Source organism: Homo sapiens, chromosome 13 (genome assembly GCF_000001405.40).
Source record: "Homo sapiens chromosome 13, GRCh38.p14 Primary Assembly".
In the NCBI taxonomy this organism is placed as follows: domain Eukaryota; kingdom Metazoa; phylum Chordata; class Mammalia; order Primates; family Hominidae; genus Homo; species Homo sapiens.
In genome coordinates, this window is record NC_000013.11 from 101,449,094 (window position 1) to 101,466,694 (window position 17,601).

The 17,601-nt window shown below is 40.8% G+C and overlaps 1 protein-coding gene across 3 annotated transcripts in view, besides 2 other annotated features; it reads left to right on the forward strand.

Moving 5' to 3' along the window:
- Nucleotides 627-1,826: an enhancer, noted in NCBI's record as "P300/CBP strongly-dependent group 1 enhancer chr13:102102071-102103270 (GRCh37/hg19 assembly coordinates)". NCBI's record gives its function as "activates an origin of replication core promoter dependent on BRD2, BRD4, P300/CBP, MED14 and CDK7 cofactors, with strong dependence on P300/CBP, by STARR-seq in HCT116 cells {active_cell/tissue: HCT116}" and the evidence as "EXISTENCE:reporter gene assay evidence [ECO:0000049][PMID:35650434]".
- Nucleotides 3,160-3,664: an enhancer, noted in NCBI's record as "H3K4me1 hESC enhancer chr13:102104604-102105108 (GRCh37/hg19 assembly coordinates)". NCBI's record gives its function as "activates a minimal SCP1, AML or CMV promoter by ChIP-STARR-seq in naive H9 embryonic stem cells {active_cell/tissue: H9 hESC(naive)}" and the evidence as "EXISTENCE:reporter gene assay evidence [ECO:0000049][PMID:30033119]".
- Nucleotides 3,582-17,601, forward strand: part of ITGBL1 (integrin subunit beta like 1) — a 268,182-nt gene continuing 254,162 nt past the window's right edge. For 2 of the 3 annotated variants that reach the window (NM_004791.3, NM_001271755.2), the window contains exons 1-2: nt 3,582-3,838; nt 4,790-5,007. In NM_004791.3, the coding sequence (NP_004782.1) occupies nt 3,741-3,838; nt 4,790-5,007 (316 nt within the window). In that variant the 5' untranslated portion in view covers nt 3,582-3,740. The remainder of the gene's footprint in view (nt 3,839-4,789; nt 5,008-17,601) is intronic. The other variant, NM_001271754.2, reaches the window with a different exon arrangement.

Here is a 17,601-nt window from a genome sequence, read left to right on the forward strand (position 1 = left end):
TAATTATTTGAATAAAGGTACAGAATGTGTGCTCATCATATTACTTTTGAGAGGGTGAAATAAATATAAAACAAGTAACCATAGTTATTTTTACCGACTGGATAAAAGAACAAAGCTTAGATGAAAAATAATAAAGATAAATATCAATTTGTGTTTGGGGAAAAATACACTTTTAAAAGCACACAACTGGGACAACGTGGCATTCAAAAAAGTGAATATGACCTTCAGTTTTATTGGGAGAAATATAGCATATGAAACAAGAATACTCAAAGTACTGATCTATTCCACATCCATTAGGCCACAGCTTCTTGAATGGTTTCAGTTGTATATATCATACTTTCCAAAAGGCATCCATCCCAGAAAAAGCAAAAATGCTCAGAAAATCAGGGTTTTGAAAGCTTGAAGTTATAATACGTAAGAAAGAGGTGAAGGCAATGAAAATATTTATCTTTAAGAAGTGTAGAATTGTTTGGGGGTTATATAGACTGGGGAATATACTATTACATCATTGAATATTTGATTCAAGGCTAGTGGCTAGAATATTATTTTAAATGTCTTCTTAGAGTAGACCTGGAACCAAGGGGTGAAACCTTCAAAGCAATTCTCAGAAAAGGATGTGGTCCTCTTAATTTTTGTTTTTTTACCAAGGCCACCTAATTACTTGGCAAATATACGGTATGTTATCAACAAATTTAGTTTTGAACTAGACAACCTTTAAAAAATACCTTGAAGGCTGAAATTCTCTGATTGTGTAACCTGAGGACTGAAGGACTCCATTCAAGGACTAGGGTGTTTTCAATCTTTTTGAATTCAGTTCCAGATGCACCCGGTCCTTTCAGGCACCCTTCATTATGCATCCAACCTACTGCTGTGTCCCCAGCCAGCAGAAGTGAGAAACTCAGGACCTTTCTTGGCACATGTGCGTCCTTGAGGTTCTGAAAACTGGGAAAATGGAAGGAGTAGGTGTTTCCAAGGCATTCAATACTTTGGTTAAAAAAAAAAAAAAAGAATGCTAAAAGGCATAAATTTAAAGTTACCCTTTGATTTTGACAGAGTTTCTGTGGATCCAAGACTTTCGACTGAGTCACCAAGTCAGCCACAATATAACTATTTCAACTGACTGGGAATATTATTTCTGAGTCATAGTAATGTAATGATCTGAACATTTATATTCTCTCAGTTACCTAGTACATACTAACTTCATTTCAAAGGTGAATAATATATTAAAGAGAATATTGCTTATTGAATACTACACTGTATGAAAATACTACAGGTTAAAAAATCACTTAAATCCATTAAAAATGTTCAAATATCAAGTCCCTATTTCATAATAAATTTTCCCTCAGAAAATATGCAAGGAGTAAACAATACATGACTCATTTATTAAAGCTTCCATGTTTTTATTGCAAATTCCTAGTTGGGCTTTGGAATAGATACTTCCCTTCTATCATTACCACATTCTCTGAGTCACTAGGTTTCTAGATGTTGACAGGAAAGCCTGTTCCTATGTCCTTGTACTATCACACGTGGGCAGGATAAAATGTAACTCTAGAATTTGTACTAAAGGTGGGTGGAAATTCCACTCTTAGATCCAGGCACCCTCAGGCGTCAGCCCTGAGCCCTGTGCTTTGCAAACTTCTCAAGCTATTATTATGTAAAAATAGATATCTTGGGATATTATTCAAATGCACTCTGTGATTCCTTAGAGCTGGGGTTGGGGCCTGAGAAGTTGCATTTCCATAAGTTCCCAAATGATGCTGATGTTGCTGCAGGTCCATGGACCACGCTTTAAGAACAACTGACTTAGTAATTCCCATTCTGTCTCTTTTAGACAGGCCCTTCCCCCACAGGCTGCAGTTCATGTGACTTAGGGAACCTGCCAACTCAGAACCTGTGTCCTTTTTTCCTAAGCCGCACTTTGGTTATCCAAGACCCCAGAATTACCTGTCCAGACAGCCTCCCAAAACTGTGCATACCTGTCCCCAGTCTGTCCTTGCAATAGAAGACTCCACCAGTGTGTACACACCTGTATCTAAGTGTGGCCAGAAAATCAGCTATTTGAAAAAGGTTAAATTGTGTGGGTAGGGGTTGGGGGGTGGGGGGACACACAGATGGGCCTCATGCAAAACCTCCCCTATTACAGGGTGGAGATTGGGGTAGAAACAGAAATGTACTATGATTAGAGGACCTTCATCGTCTTCTTGCTCCAGCAGGCTAGTGTTGTGGTGGTCTTACCCTTATACCTACTTATATATAAAGGACAGGGAGAAATCCCATCCTATTATGGCTCATCCCTGATTTTAAGGATCTGGGACCACAGATGATTCTTGGATGGTTCTATTTCATGAGGAAGGATTGCATGTACAGTGCTCTTCTTAGGGTGAATGAAAAATGTTTTCCCCCTTCCATATAACCCTCTACACATTTTCCCAGATGACCATAAATGTAGGGGATAGTGTATGCACTTTGGATTTCAGCTGAAATACGACTAACTTCCTCTGTGAATTTGAGCAAGTCAGTTGACCTCTTTGCCCTCAGTTTCTTTATCTTTAAAATGGGAGTAAGAATGTCTCCCTGTTCTCTTCCATCTCCTTCTTATTTCTACCCAATTTAATTCAATACTTTTTTCAGTTTTTTGTTCAGATGCTACCATCTTTGATTAGATCAAGTGCCTGTATCTCATCTGGAAGTAACTTCTCACTGCACTTGCAACCCTTTGTTCTTTTTTTTTGTGGTTTTGTGTTGATTAATGTCTTTCTAGCTCATTGGACTCTGAGAGAGCAGGGATCATGTCTCCTTAGTTCTCTGTTATATTCATTCTGTCTTGCACAAAACCTGGCACCTGATAGATGCTAAATCCCCATTTGCTAATGCATAAATAAATGTGTGATTATTGTCATAATTAGAGAAAACATACTAAATGACTGGCACATAGTAGGTGCTTAGTAAATGACACCAATTGTTTTTCAGTGCAATTTGTGCTATAAATAAACATTTAATTTTCTTTTCTCACATTTGATATATGGGGAGAATGGGGTGAATTTGAGACAACTACAATTTAAACTGTCCAAGTCACCAACAAATTGTGGTGTGATAAGCTACTGGCCTAAACAGCTGGAAGCATGACACGCTTTTTAAAGACTAAAGAAATGAAATATCCAGTTTAAATCAAAGGATAATAAATGCAAGAAAAAGTTGTGTTTGTCAGATTTCCTTGCCCCGGCCCCAACCCAAACTCCAAAGAGTGCATCTACTTTAAAAGCGTGTGGTGAAAGTAATTCCCTACCCAAGTGTTCCCACTACTGTCACTGGCCTCACCCTTCTCCACAACTCAGGGATTATTTTAAAGGTTTCTTTAATATCGGCCAGTCCAAATATTCTCTTGTCAAATATTTCTGTGGCCCGTACTTGAAATCTGTGAACAGGACACTTTTTTTTTTTTTAATGTCAAAATAAACCATCTGCTTGTACAACTGTTTCTAATTACTTCCCTGCCTAGACTCTCCACTGAGGGGTTTGGCACCAGCACCCCGCCCAGAGCAGTGCCGCTGCCCAAATCCTCGCAGGCAGCTCATCAACGCAATTGCAACTCCGGCTGGAGCCCCGGACCTGCAAGCCTGGGTGTCCGTGGGTCCGTCTGCCCAGCCATCTGCTGGTGGCACCTCTCCCTCCTGCCGCCTCCCTCGGTGAACCCCACCTTGCAGAAGTGCAGCTCGCCCGGAGCAGCCCAGGAGCTCAGCATGCGTCCCCCAGGCTTCAGGAACTTCTTGCTGCTGGCGTCCTCCCTTCTCTTTGCTGGGTTGTCAGCTGTTCCTCAAAGCTTCTCGCCATCTCTGAGGTAAGTTTGGTTTGTTATTCTTCAGTACAGACCTGCCCTGCTTATGTGGCAGGGCTCAAGCTTGCAGGATGGCTGCCCTAAGCCAAGAGCTGTTATTAAATTGGACAAGGGATAAACTGTTTTCAACCTGTTCCTTTTCCTCTCCTTATATCTACAGCGTGTATTGCCTCATGTCTGTCCTTTTGCTTTTCCTTTGGAAAAATGCAATCATTGAATAAAAATATAATTTTCTTTTCTGCAAATACATATCAGGAGGAATTCCTGCTGTGAGTTAAAATGCTATGTGTACCAGTATCTTCTCACAACATGTAAAGCAGAATGATCTGTTTCCCAAGGGCAGCAACAGGAGGTCTGTGTTACATTTTGTATCATCCTGAAAGAGACTGAGTGAGGCACACTGCAATAGTGAAACTAAACTTTTTAAAAGTAGAGTTCCTAAAGACTGCTTAATGCAAATTATGCCCGATGCTATCATAGCATGTCTAACTCTTTCTATAGATTCACGTTTTCTCTTCTGTAATATAAGTGCCCATTGGCCATCAGATAGCAGTGGGACGTTTTTTAAAGGAGAACTGAAAAGTCAGCTGAGTGCCGTACCTTGGATTACTTTGTATTTAATCTAAATGTGCATATAAGATTTAGTGATAAACTACCAAAGAGCAGGGCAGTTCACCTCTGTCCACCTGGAGGAAGGACCTGTGTCCGGGGGCAGGTCACCCATTACACATTTTGGGCCCTGGTCATTTCTCTGGTGGGTGATACCTGTTTGCTTGGGAAAATACAGCCCTTCCAGGCAGCGCTTGGACCCCAGAGAGATGTGGGCCTCAGGCGTCCTGTTCTTGGGGTTGTACGTCTGCACCTGGAGGGGACACTGGGGAGGAAACGTGGGTTCGGAGCAGGGGGCGGCGTCCGCGTCTGACCCGGCCTGCCGGTTGCTTGTCGCCCGCGCAGGAGCTGGCCGGGCGCCGCCTGCAGGCTGTCCCGGGCCGAGTCGGAGCGACGCTGCCGCGCACCTGGGCAGCCCCCGGGGGCCGCGCTGTGCCACGGCCGGGGCCGCTGCGACTGCGGCGTCTGCATCTGCCACGTGACTGAGCCGGGCATGTTCTTCGGGCCCCTGTGTGAGTGCCATGAGTGGGTGTGCGAGACCTACGACGGGAGCACCTGTGCAGGTAAGAGGGCGGCGCTGTCTCCTCCCTCGGGAGGTCGAAACTCCTCTTCTGGGATTTCTGCCACTCCCTAGAAGAGTGAAGGGTGGGGACACGCCTCCCTTCACATAAGCACCAATTAAGTTACTGCGATTGTCACACTTTGGCTAGTTAATTCTGGCATCATTTATCACAACACTTTTATCCCCCAGGCTCTGAACTTGAATGGAAGTAAAGTTTTAAAAATTCATTCACTTAATTATATATTTTATTGTAATTATGATTTTTTAAAGTTGGGATCTTGCTATGTTGCCCTGGCTGGTCCCCCCCCCCCCCCCCAACTCCTGGAATCAAGCTATCCTCCCTCCTGAGCTTCCCAAAGTGTTGGGATTACAGGCGTGAGCCACTGCACCTGGCCGTCATTTGCTTAATTCTAAAATCTCACTTGCCTCTAAAGTTCCTCATTATAGACTAAATTCCCCAATGTCCTCACAAATGGAGTTATTTTACTGGGTTCTCCTATCCCTATCAAGAATGTTAATGATAATATTTGTAGATCTTAGGCCTGTATTTTATTTTACATAGGAAACAGTGGGAGGGGGAATGTATTATTTTCCTCCATTCTAGGGAGGCAGGTTTTGTCTTTGAAGCCTGATTTGCCCTCTCATTATTAGAATATAGTTCACAGGCAGGAGTGCATATCAGAAAACTGTAACAAGGAAAAAAGTAAACGGGCACATATTTACTTAGAATGACTGTTCTTGCATTGTTCTAGCTGCTTGAATTTTTGAGTTGCAATGAAACTTGGTATTTTCTGAGGGTGGAGTGAAAATACATTCATTTCCCTTGCACATTTTTAAGGAGTGATTCAGGTTCTGATATTGGAAAGGGTCAAAAAATTCCTTCCCAGAGAACACCCTTAACCTCTTTACCTGTGTCGTTTTACTTAAGGCCAAGAGCCTCAATTAGTGCCTTGTGAGTGACACAGAACTCCATTAGTGAAAGCACAACACAATGCATTCCAGCCAGGGTTTGGCAAATTTGTAGGAAAAACCAGCCACTTATTTTACCCTCAATGTAGCTAAGAATAATAAGACAGCCAACACTAACATAGAAAGATCAAGAATGAGTTTATAGCAAAATATTTTTTTCTCGGAACCTGGGCCCAGTAGTGTATAAGTTACTTAATATGCAGGCTGCTTGGCAATGCAAAAAATAGTCATAGAAGAAATTTGGAGGGGCGCAGGTGCATCTACTTGATTTGTTTTCCCTGTGAAGGCTGTGGATCAACTCTTTAAAAATACTGAATGCTGGGTGGGGTGGCTCACACCTGTAATCCCAGCACTTTGGGAGGCCGAGGCAGGTGAATCACTTGAGGTCAGGAGTTCAAGACCAGCCTCGCCAACTTGCTGAAACCCAGTCTCTACTAAAAATACAAAAATTAGCTGGGCGTCGTGGCATGTGCCTGTAATCCCAGCTACTTGGGAGGCCGAGGCAGAATTGCTTGAACCTGGGAGGCAGAGGTTGCAGAGAGCCAAGATCATGCCACTGCACTCCAGCCTGGGCAACAGAGCGAGACTTCATCTCAATAAATAAATTAATAAATAAAATTAAAATATTGGATGCCACAACTTGTTATTTAACTTCGCAGTCCTACAAACCGCAGTATAATTAAGGGTAGCCCTTTGGAATGAAAGCTAAGTTACCGCCTAATATTTCATTCCAAATTTGACTGTTACTTGGCTTCTCTGACCTATGGCCTCTGGCAAGCCCTCTTCAATATCATGAATTTTGAACAAATTTTCCAGGGCTTTTTCTCTTGTTTTATTAGAGAAGTAAGAGGTAAGATGCAGCCTTTAACTGGTGAAAGTTGTGAGTGTCGTCAGATTCACTTTCCCTGTTGAAGAACCTAGGCTGGTGCTTTTCTCCGAGAAACTATGCAGAAGGAATGCTGTGGTAGACAGCATTCCTTTTTCCCTCCCATAGAAAATGATATGTTGTTTACTCATAGCATCTTAGTCACTGCATTCCTTCCTTCTTGATACGAAATGCAGGACTGAGTCAAGCATGGTTTTGTTTGGTTATGCATGCATTTCTGTAGAAGATGAAATGCTTCTCTTTATTTTAATACTGAATGGAATAATGAAGTTCATTTTTTATTCTCATCTTGCTGACTGATGCCCATCAAAACTTACTCTACAGGGCCTTGAGCAGAATCTGTCCCCGCAAATGCCCTGACCACGTTTGTGGGGCCCATGCGGAGATCCCTACAAGTAGCACCTAGGGCTGCCTTGCGAGCCCGTCGATGTATTCCATGCTTCAAATTTAGCTTCTCAGTTTTATTTTTAAGAGATAGTTCCAGTTGTATCACTGGAATATGGAAATATAGCAGGTTTCCTATGTTTATGTGCCCCTGTGCTTTCACCTCCATGAAAGTTCCTGTAGGTCCTTTCCAGAAATAGAGTAACTTTCGGAGACCTCTCCAACTTCTAAGAAGAAAACAAAATCCTTCTCTTATAGTACTATATCATGGAGTGATTAAAAGTGTGGGCTCTGGGCTGGGTGTGGTGGTTCATGCCTATAATCCTAGCACTTTGGAAGCCTGAAGCAGGTGGATTACCTGAGGTCAGGATTCAAGACTAGCCTGGAGAACATGGTGAAACACCATCCCTACTAAAAAACACAAAAATTAGCTGGGCTTGGTGGCATGTGCCTGTAATCCCAGCTACTTGGAAGGCTGAGGCAGGAGAATCGCTTGAACCCGGCAGGCAGAGGTTGCAGTGAGCTGAGATGATGCCGTTGCACTCTAGCCTAGGAAACAAGAATGAGACGCTGTCTCAAAAAAAAAGTGTGGACTCTGGGAGACAATTTCCAGGATTCAAATCCTAGTCCTATTACTTAATAGCTGTATGAACTTGGGCAGTTACTTAAACATTCTGAGCCTTGATTTCTTCATCTGTAAAATGGGAATAACAGTACCTAACTTATAGAGCTGTTGTAAGGTTTAACATATGTAAAATACTTAGACTAGTGTCTGACATGAAGTAAGTGCTCAGTACATATTAAAATGTATATATACATAATATTATTACAATGATGCATAACAAGTGGGCTAGTATGGATGGAAGGATGGGTGGATGGAGATGACAGATGGGTAGATAGATAGCTGGCCCAGTGTTTGTTGGGCATTTAATGCAGTGAGAGCAATTTACTTCTCTTCATGTAGTCTGGGTCTGTTACTGATTCAAGGCCCAAAAAGTCAAGTAGGGATAACTATTTTGGCCCAGCCTCAGGGCAGCTGTATTAGATACACTATGCCCTTTTAAAGTTAAGTCCATTGGGATTATTATACTGTGAATCATAAGAACCATACTTATTATAGTTTGCGCTGGTTGAAAGTGATTAGGTTCCCTCCATTAGAAGTCTGTTTCTTCCAGTGTCCACTTGTTCGTGGCACATGCATCTTCCACAGACTTTTATAGCATAAAGATCCAGCCAAGTGAGTGTTCCTATGGATGTGATGGTCTATTAAGGGGTAAAATAATTTTGGTAGAATGGTGAAACCCTGTCTCTACTAAATATACAAAAATTAGCTGGGTGTGATGGTGTGCGCCTTGTAGTCCCAGCTACTCGGGAGGCTGAGGCAGGAGAATTGCTTGAACCCAGGAGGCAGAGGTTGCAGTGAGCCAAGATTGCGCCATTGCACTCCAGCCTGAGTGACAGAACGACACTCCATCACAAAAAAGGAAAGAAAAAAAGAAAGAATGGCAAAATGTTTGATTGCATGGAAAGAAACTTTCAGTTGATATTTCTAAAGCATTCCTGGTTGACCCCATGACCAGCTACAATGACACTTAAATAATGTATTGTTTTCTTAGAAATCTTTTGAAATTGCTGTTGAAATATGTCACTTAAAGAGTTTCAGTTTTAGTAATTTAGGAAGAGCTAATTGAATTCAATTTAGCAACACTTATGAAGCACTGCATATTTTCTAGGCTCTGTCCTGTTGAAGGGAGTGTAAAGATGAGGGATAGAAGGCAGCTTACCATTGAGTAGGGAGACACAGAGAAATACCAGATATCTATAATGTAATGCAAAATATCATCTGTACAAATTTTTATGAGGGCTCCATTGAGCCAGGGGTTATATATTATGGCTAAAAGTTCTTGAGAAAGAGGTAGCATTTGACATAAGCACTTGAGTACTGGGAGATTTTTTAATCCAAAAAGTGGACTGTTGGAATTCTGAGTAAGGAAAATCTTAAGCAAAAGTGTAGAAGCAGAAAAACATGTGGATGTTTGGGAAATAGGGCTACAAGGGTTGGCTTGGCTGGATCTTAGAGCTGTAAGGAAAGTAATAAAAGATATGTTGAGAATTACAGTTGATCATATTGTAGAGAGTTTGTTCTTGATTAAACAGCATATAAGAGCTATTAAGAGTCCAAATATAGGAGTGATCATTAGTGCTCTGATTTATGGAAAGAAATACAGTCATTCCTTGATATCTGCTGGGAATTAGTTCTAGGGAGCCTCCCCCACCAGTGGATACCAAGGATGTTCCAGTCTCTCATATAAAATGGTGTAGTATTTGCATGTAACCTATACACATCCTCTAGTAAACTTTAAATCATCTCTTGATTACATATAATACCTCATGCAATGTAAATGCTATGTAAATAGTTGTTATACTGTATGTTAGTTGTATTATTTTGTACTACACTTTTTTATTTTCTGAATAGTTTTAATCTGCCAATGAGGAGCCCACAGATATGGAGGCCCGACCGTATGGTGCCCAAAAGCATGGCAAGTTAAAGTAGAGAACCAATGGGGAGGAACTCCACGGGAGAGGCAATAAGAACAGAATTATTATTTTTTTAAAGGCCATTTAAAAGTAAAATCAATATGAATTAGTGTCCAAGGATGAGTAAGATGAATTAAAACTCATGCTGGGTTTTTAAGTCTGCGAGATCAGAAGTGTGATGGAACTGATGGAGTCAAGAAATCACAGGAAAGAACCAGATAACCAAATCCATGACTTAAAGTTCTTTTAAAAGAACTCTCATTTTTAAGTGGAATTGATATAAAATGAAAAATTAATGCTAGCAGAAAGAGATTCTGATTTCATTGGCCACCACGTTTGGGGCAGGATGGGAATCTTGTCTGAATTGTTAACGTGGGTTAACTTGTTTATGTTGTTAACCTTGAGCCAGGTTTTTAATTTACCTGATATTTAGTGCCTTTTTCTGTAACAGTATCCTTATGGATATGAAGAACCTTCTATTCTGTGTGACATTGAGCATGATTTTATGTATGTATGTATAAATTTATTTAATATTCATATCCTTTATATACTTCTACATTTATTCAGACTATACGCCATCCTTAGCTGGGTGTGGTGGCTCACACCTGTAATCCCAGCACTTTGGGAGGCTGAGGTAGCTGGGATGGCTTGATCTCAGGAGTCTGAGACCAGCCTGGGGAACATGGTGAAACTCTGTCTCTACAAAAGATACAAAAATTAGCTGGGCATGGTGCACACCTGTAGTCCCAGCTACTAGGGAGGCTGAGAGGGGAGGATGGCTTGAGCCCAGGAGGCATAGGTTGCAGTGAGCCATGATCATGCCACCGCACTGCAGCCTGAGCAACAGAGGGAGGCCCTGTTTCAAATAAATAAGAAATAAATATAAAAAATAAATATAAGCCATTCTTATAAACATTGATTTATGTGTTCAAATATTAACAATATAACAATTAAAATAATTAGAATACATTGAAACATTTTTAATATGTAAAAATTAGTAATTTTTTTTCTTGAAGATATTTGACTTTTATACTACGAAGTAAGTAGTATGGGAATTATATGTGGTTATTCATGAGAACTGGACTTCCTGGCTCTTGAGGCTGCCTGAGGACTGTTCGACTTGCCTTTCCCTTCCAATTGCATTTTTCTTAGATTGTTGAACGATCTCCCTCCAAGCCTACTTGTGGATTTACTCAGGCTTTTTCTTTACTAGTCTTTTTCTATTTTTCATCTTCTCTCCCTTCCTTCAATCCTCATCCTGTCTTCCTTGCCCACTCCTTCACCTCCGTCTAGCCCATCTTGGATTTACCGCCCCCTCTCTTTCGCAAAATAGCCCTTCCATGTCTCTGAGTCGGAGGCACCAAGCACGTAAGAATATTATCTGCCTTGAATCCCCTTCACCAGTAAATAAATGTCTGTAACAGACAGACTGGCTTTCACATTGCCTCTTTCCTGTATTTTCTTCATAGTCTTCACATCGCTTGTAGTTTTTGGAAACACATTCAGGAGTTCCCCACTAGCTCACCCACTGCATGTAAGCCATTTTTCGGGAGCTCTACTTTCTTACATTCATCTGTGTTCGATAAATGCATATTGTCTTAGCCCAAGTGACGTATAAAAGTTAAATGTTTTCTTTCTGAAAGCAAGTGCCAAACATGCACAGCAATTTTCCTCAATTGTACTGCTTTATTTGGACAGGGCTCTGCAGCTCTACCATGGTTTCTTAGTCTGTTTTGTGTTGCTGTAAAAGAATACCTGAGACTGGGTAGGTTGTAAAGGAAAGAGGTTTATTTGGCTTACAGTTTTGCAGGCTGTACAAGCAAGGCACCAGCATGTGCTAGGCTTCTGGTGAGGCCTCAGGAAGCCTTTACTTATGGAAAGTGAGGAGGGACTGGCATGTCACATGGCAAGAGATAGAGGGAGGGGTACCACATTCTTTTAAGCAACCAGCTGTCCTGTGAACAAATAGAGAACTCACTCATGACCTTGGGGAGGGCACCAAGCCATTCATGAGGGATCCACCCCCATAACCCAAACACTTCCCACTTGATTCCACCTACAAGATTGGGGATCACATTTCAACATGAGATTTGGAGGGGACACACATCCAAACTATATCACACAGAGACAGACATACCTTGCCCTGGACTAGGTCATCCCTGCACCTTGATGATCTAGAGGAACATATTTATAGCATTGTGGTATTTAGATAAAATAGTATAAATGTGAGAAATTCAGGAGTTATTTTCTATGTAAAGTTTCCCCAGAATGAGAAAGGAAAGGAACATATGGAAACAAATTTATTTGTATTACAAATTTTAAATTTGCAAAACATAAACCTCCCTCATAAGGTTCTCAGAGTCTTCAATATATTTTGAAACACAATGCTAAAACTGACATCGCATGTTCTTGATATCATAAACCCCCACAAAAGCTGCTCAGCTCTCTGAGCCTCATATACATATTGTTACATCTGACCTTGTGACTCACCATGTTCATGTTCTTGAGGTAGGTGATCAATGCCCTAGGAGGGACTGGGTGTAGTGGCTCACATCGCCTGTAATCCTAGCACTTTGGGAAGTTGAGGTGGGAGGATCCTTGAAGCCCAGTGGTTTGAGACCGGCCTGGGCAGCATAGCGAGACCTGCTCCCTACTAAAAATTTTTTAAAAATTGCCAGACCCAGTGGTGGGTGACTGTAGTGCCAGCTATCAGGAGGCTAATACAGGAGGCTCATTTGAGCATGGGAGATTGAGGCTGCAGTGAGCTATGATCAGGCCACTGCACTCCAGCCTAGGTGAGAGAATTAGACCCTGTCTCAAAAAAATAAAATAAAAAATTCCCTGGGAGCAGAGAGCCCCGTTATCATTCTTTGGGGGAATTCCCTGTCTGCAAAATTATGAAGTAAGACGAGACATTTTGCCAAGCTTCATATCCTGCCCTTGTATTATTTTTCTATTGCTGCTACAACAAATTACCACAAACCTTGAGGCTTAAACAGCTCAGATGTCTTTTCTAGAGTTCTGTAGGTCTCAAGGTCCCCTGACATGGGACTTCCAGGGCCAAGGTGTTGATAGCCTCTGTTCTTTTCTGAAGACTCTAGGAGAGAATCCGTTTCCTGGTTATTGGTGTTGAGATAATTTAGTTCTGTGTGGTTGTAAGACTGTGGTCCCCAGTTCCTTGCTGGCTGTCAGTTGGGGTCCCTCTTGTCTTCTAGAAGCTACTTTCGGGTCCTTACAAGTACCCCACTCCCAAATCTCAAAACTGGAAACAGGTTGTGAGACCTTTCTCACACCGCTGTCTCCCAGAGCCTCTTCCATCATCACATCCCTTCTTACCACCGTCGGAAAACATACTCCACTTTTAAGGTGTATTTTAACTAGACTGAACCCAGATAATCCAGGATAAGCTTCCCATCCAAGACTCATAAACTTCATCACATCAGCAAAGTCACTTTTGCCACGTAAGGTGACATATTTACAGGTTTCAGGAGCAAGGGTATGGCTATCTTTGAAGGCCCATAGTCTTCTCAGCATAGTCACCCTCCTATAAAGTGCAGGGCACTCTGTATGTGTGAATGGCAAGGGAGAGGTTCCAACTCCATTCATATCTGGCTGTTGGTATGCTCCATCGAGGATGCAAGGGCTGAGTCTTTTCCTTCTTTTCCGAGGTTATCTATATGATCTAATTGCTCTGGCCCATCTTTTCCATATCATTATTTTTTTTGAGTTGGATTCTCGCTGTGTTGCCGAGGCTGGAGTGCAGTGGAGCAATCTCAGCTCGCTGCAACCTCCACCTCCCGGGGTCAAGTGATACTCCTGCCTCAGCCTCCTGAGTAGCTGGGACTGTAGGCATGCGCCCCCACACCTGGCTAATTTTTGTATGTTTAGTAGAGACAGGGCTTCACCATGTTGGCCAGGCTGGTCTCTAACTTCTGACCTCAGGTGATCCACCTGCCTTGGCCTCCCAAAGTGCTGCGATTACAAGCGTGAGCCATGGCACCTGGCCTTTTCCATATCATTTCTGATAAAGAACACTAAGTGTCTTTCTAAAGCATGAAGAGAGGGACTTAAGCCCAACAGTTGCCTGCATTCAGTTCCTGACATTGTCACTTGCCCACTGTGGAGCTACAGGGAGGTTACCCAAGAGGTTACAACCTCTGTTTCCTTATGGTTGAAAAGAGGGCAATAATAAGACCAAATAGGGATAATGACAGTGCCAAACACATATGAGTGATTAATAAATCACTGGAGTTATTATGCTTAAATATGCTAGACACCCCTCTCCTACCCTAGCGTAATTCCTGGTCCTAAGATATTTATTTTCAAATAAGCAATTTTCTTTCCATGTTATATCTTCCTCCATTACTAAATTCATGTCTTGGAATTACTCTGATAGTCTTTGAACTATTATATCCCAACAAGCTTGCCTACTCTATAGTGCCAGGGCTGGGTGTGCCCTCAGCCCTGGCCAGCATGAGGAATCTGAGAGCTTACTGTATCATGCCCCAACTCACTGCACTGCCAGCCGTCTGAGTCTTGTATATGTCTTTGTCTCAGAACCTGCCTTTTGTGTTCCTGTCCCTGAAATCTGTACCCTGATTTATATGATCATAATTGATCTAATGGAATGCTCCAGAACCCTACCCTCAGAACTGTATAATTAGTCCTTGAATTTGGAATTTTCATGCTTTTTCTCTGCTGGAAACCTTTAGACGTCTGCAGACTCCCAGGGCTTACTCTATAAGTGCAATTCTGCTTCTGACTCTTCCCTCCACTGAGATGCCTGTACTTCTAGGGTGTTCCTTGATCTCCTCTAAATTGTTGATCCCAAATAGGTTGATCCCAGAAACTGCTTCTTCAGTTGCAAAACTGCAGAAAGCAACACAATAAAAAAACAAAATCAAAATAACTCACATATTTTTAAAAATATGTAATAAACATTACTGAATGTTGTGGAGACATTGGGTTGTGTGTTATTTAATCATAAGAATGCAAACTACTGAAGATTGAATAGGAGTCATTCTAGTTCTTTTTTTTTTTTTTTTTTTCCGAGACAGATTCTCGCTGTGTCACCCAGACTGGAGTGCAGTGGTGTGATCTCAGCTCACTGCAACCTCCACCCCCCGGATTCAAACGAATCTCCTGCCTCAGCCTCCTGAGTAGCAGGGACTACAGGCGCCCATCATCACACCTGGCTAATTTTTGTATTTTTAGTAGAGACTGGGTTGGCCAGGCTGGTCTGAAACTCCTGACCTCAGGCGATCCACCCGCCTCAGCCTCCCAAAGTGCTGGGATTACAGGCATGAGCCACCACGCCTGACCCATTCTTAAAACTCCCAATGCTTTGTTATGTACTTCAGCCTCTCTTCTTTATCCTGTTTGATCCCCTCCTTCTCATCACATTTCTGTTTTTTTATTTCACTTTCAAATAATGTTCATTTTTCACAAGGAGTTTAGTTATTATTTCTGTCATCTCATTTTTTGCCCATCCATGGCCTCTAAAATCTTGGCTTGTACCCCAAGTGTTGATGTACTCAGATATTAAGGACACAGACATATATGCATGTGTCTGTATGTATATATGTAGTTTTTTACATTCTGGTTTATTATGTATATGTATACATAGAAGACCCAGAGAGGGTCTCTCTCTCTCTCTATATATATATATATGCATATGTTTATATATCCTCCTATATATTATTTATGCTTGTATAGCCAATCAAAATACATATATTTTACCCATTTATATTTGGTATATGTATATATTTTGATTGCCTGTACAAACATAATATATATACACATATTTATATATGTATACATACATATTTGATACCCTAATTTTATACACATACGCCATACATATGTGAATATGTAAGTATGTGCACAAACATACATATATATGTGTGTTTGTATATATGTGTGAGTCTAAATGTTATACACAGGGACATACATGCGTAAGCCCTTTTCTGGTAGACCACTACCTGCAGATCGAAGTCAAGTCCACTTTCAAATTTCTGTAATGCTGACACTCTTGATATAAAGGTTGCTTGGGATTGATGCCACATGTGTAAACCTGCTAGAAATCAATATCTCATTGGGGAATACTTTTGTGTCTTTATCTGTTTAATGAATGCCATGAAAACAATGACGTATCATTTGGGTGATTCATAATTGGATTCTTTTTTCACTATGGAGTTAACTAAATGCTTTTAGGCTATTCAAGTCACATTCGAATTACAGTTAATAGTTGGTAAATGGTCCTCATATTGTTATACTAAAACTGTGCAAAGATAGAAAAGAGAAAACAGCTTCTTTTCTTTTTTCAAAATAAATAATAGTGACATTCTTATGACTAATATATTTTAATGCTATATACATTTTTGTGGAGTATTTGGAAATGTCACCAAAATTAGGTTTCATTGGAAATCCTTGAGTCTAGGGTTGGAGACAAAAATCACTCAGGATTCTCTTATAGCTGTCCTCTGAAAGACATAGTCTTAAAAATATAAAACTATGATAAATTTTCTCTATCTTTGAGGCAATAATAGCTGCTTGTATTATTTTGCTTCTAATAATAAATTCTGATATCTATTAACAGATATGCTATTCTTTGCTAAATTACTGTGAATTTTGTAGTCACATCTCAGAAGGAAGAAAAAAGGAAATAAAATAATGTGATAAATCAGCTTTAGATTTGTCCGGTTTTAAGACCCTCTGCCTTAAGAAGCAGCTTGCATCAGTGGAAAGATAACTGGATTAGGAGACAGGAGAAACAGGCCCTATTATCTACTTTTCCACTTATCTACTATGTGATCTTGGCAAATAACAGTCACCCATTTATATTTGGTATGGTACTTCTGACTTTTTTGAAGAGAAGGTATGAGGTTGAGGATCCCTGCAATGAGTAATTGGCAGTTTGTAGGGGCTCAGTAAATATATGTTCAGTGAATAAATGAGATTCAGCTTATTTAAATTACCATTATGGCTATGGAATAAATATTTAGGTAAAGGCATCTGAAAAGATTAATAATTGAGGATAGCGGTAACTGTAGAGCGTAGAGGATAAAGACACTCATAACTTTAAGAGCAGAGGTAGTGATGTTACTGATAAACAGTTGACAAGCCAACCAAAATGAAGACGTGGAGTCAGAAAGGCCAAGAAAACTTGGAGGGGAGGGGATCCTCTTAGTCATCCAACTAAACTATGGCCAACTTTGACTCATCCTTTTCATTTGCTCTCATATCCTGCCAATATTGCTAATGTTTTTACTTAATTTTCTGCTGAATTTAGTTCTATTGCTAGTGACTTAGCTTAGCCTTCATTTCCCTTGACAAGGAATATTAGTAATAGTAAAGTTCTTATCACACCTCATGCTTCATTCAGGCTGTCTTCCCTTCTGTCTATCCTGTATACCACCACTTGGTGAATCACCGTAAGTGACATTTTGTCAAGTATCTGTGCTTTTCAAATTCACTTCAAAGATCATTCTAACCATTTATACTGGCCACTTATTCTGTACCCCTGCTTTGATTCACTTCATGAACACACATTGAGGGTATATACTATAGGTATCAAATCTAAATTTTGGCTTCTAATCTACTTGGCCATTAAGACATTCTAGAATCTGATTCCTCTTTAATGGCATGCTGACCCGCTTCCTCTTTCTCACCTTGTATGCTCCCATCTCTCTAGTTAGATCTTAACATCACTGTCACTTAATACAGTCTACACCAAACACATTTTTCATGATTTCACGTGTTTTCTTATGTTTACAAATATGCTGAATATTCTGAATACTAGCACCATCTCACATATTT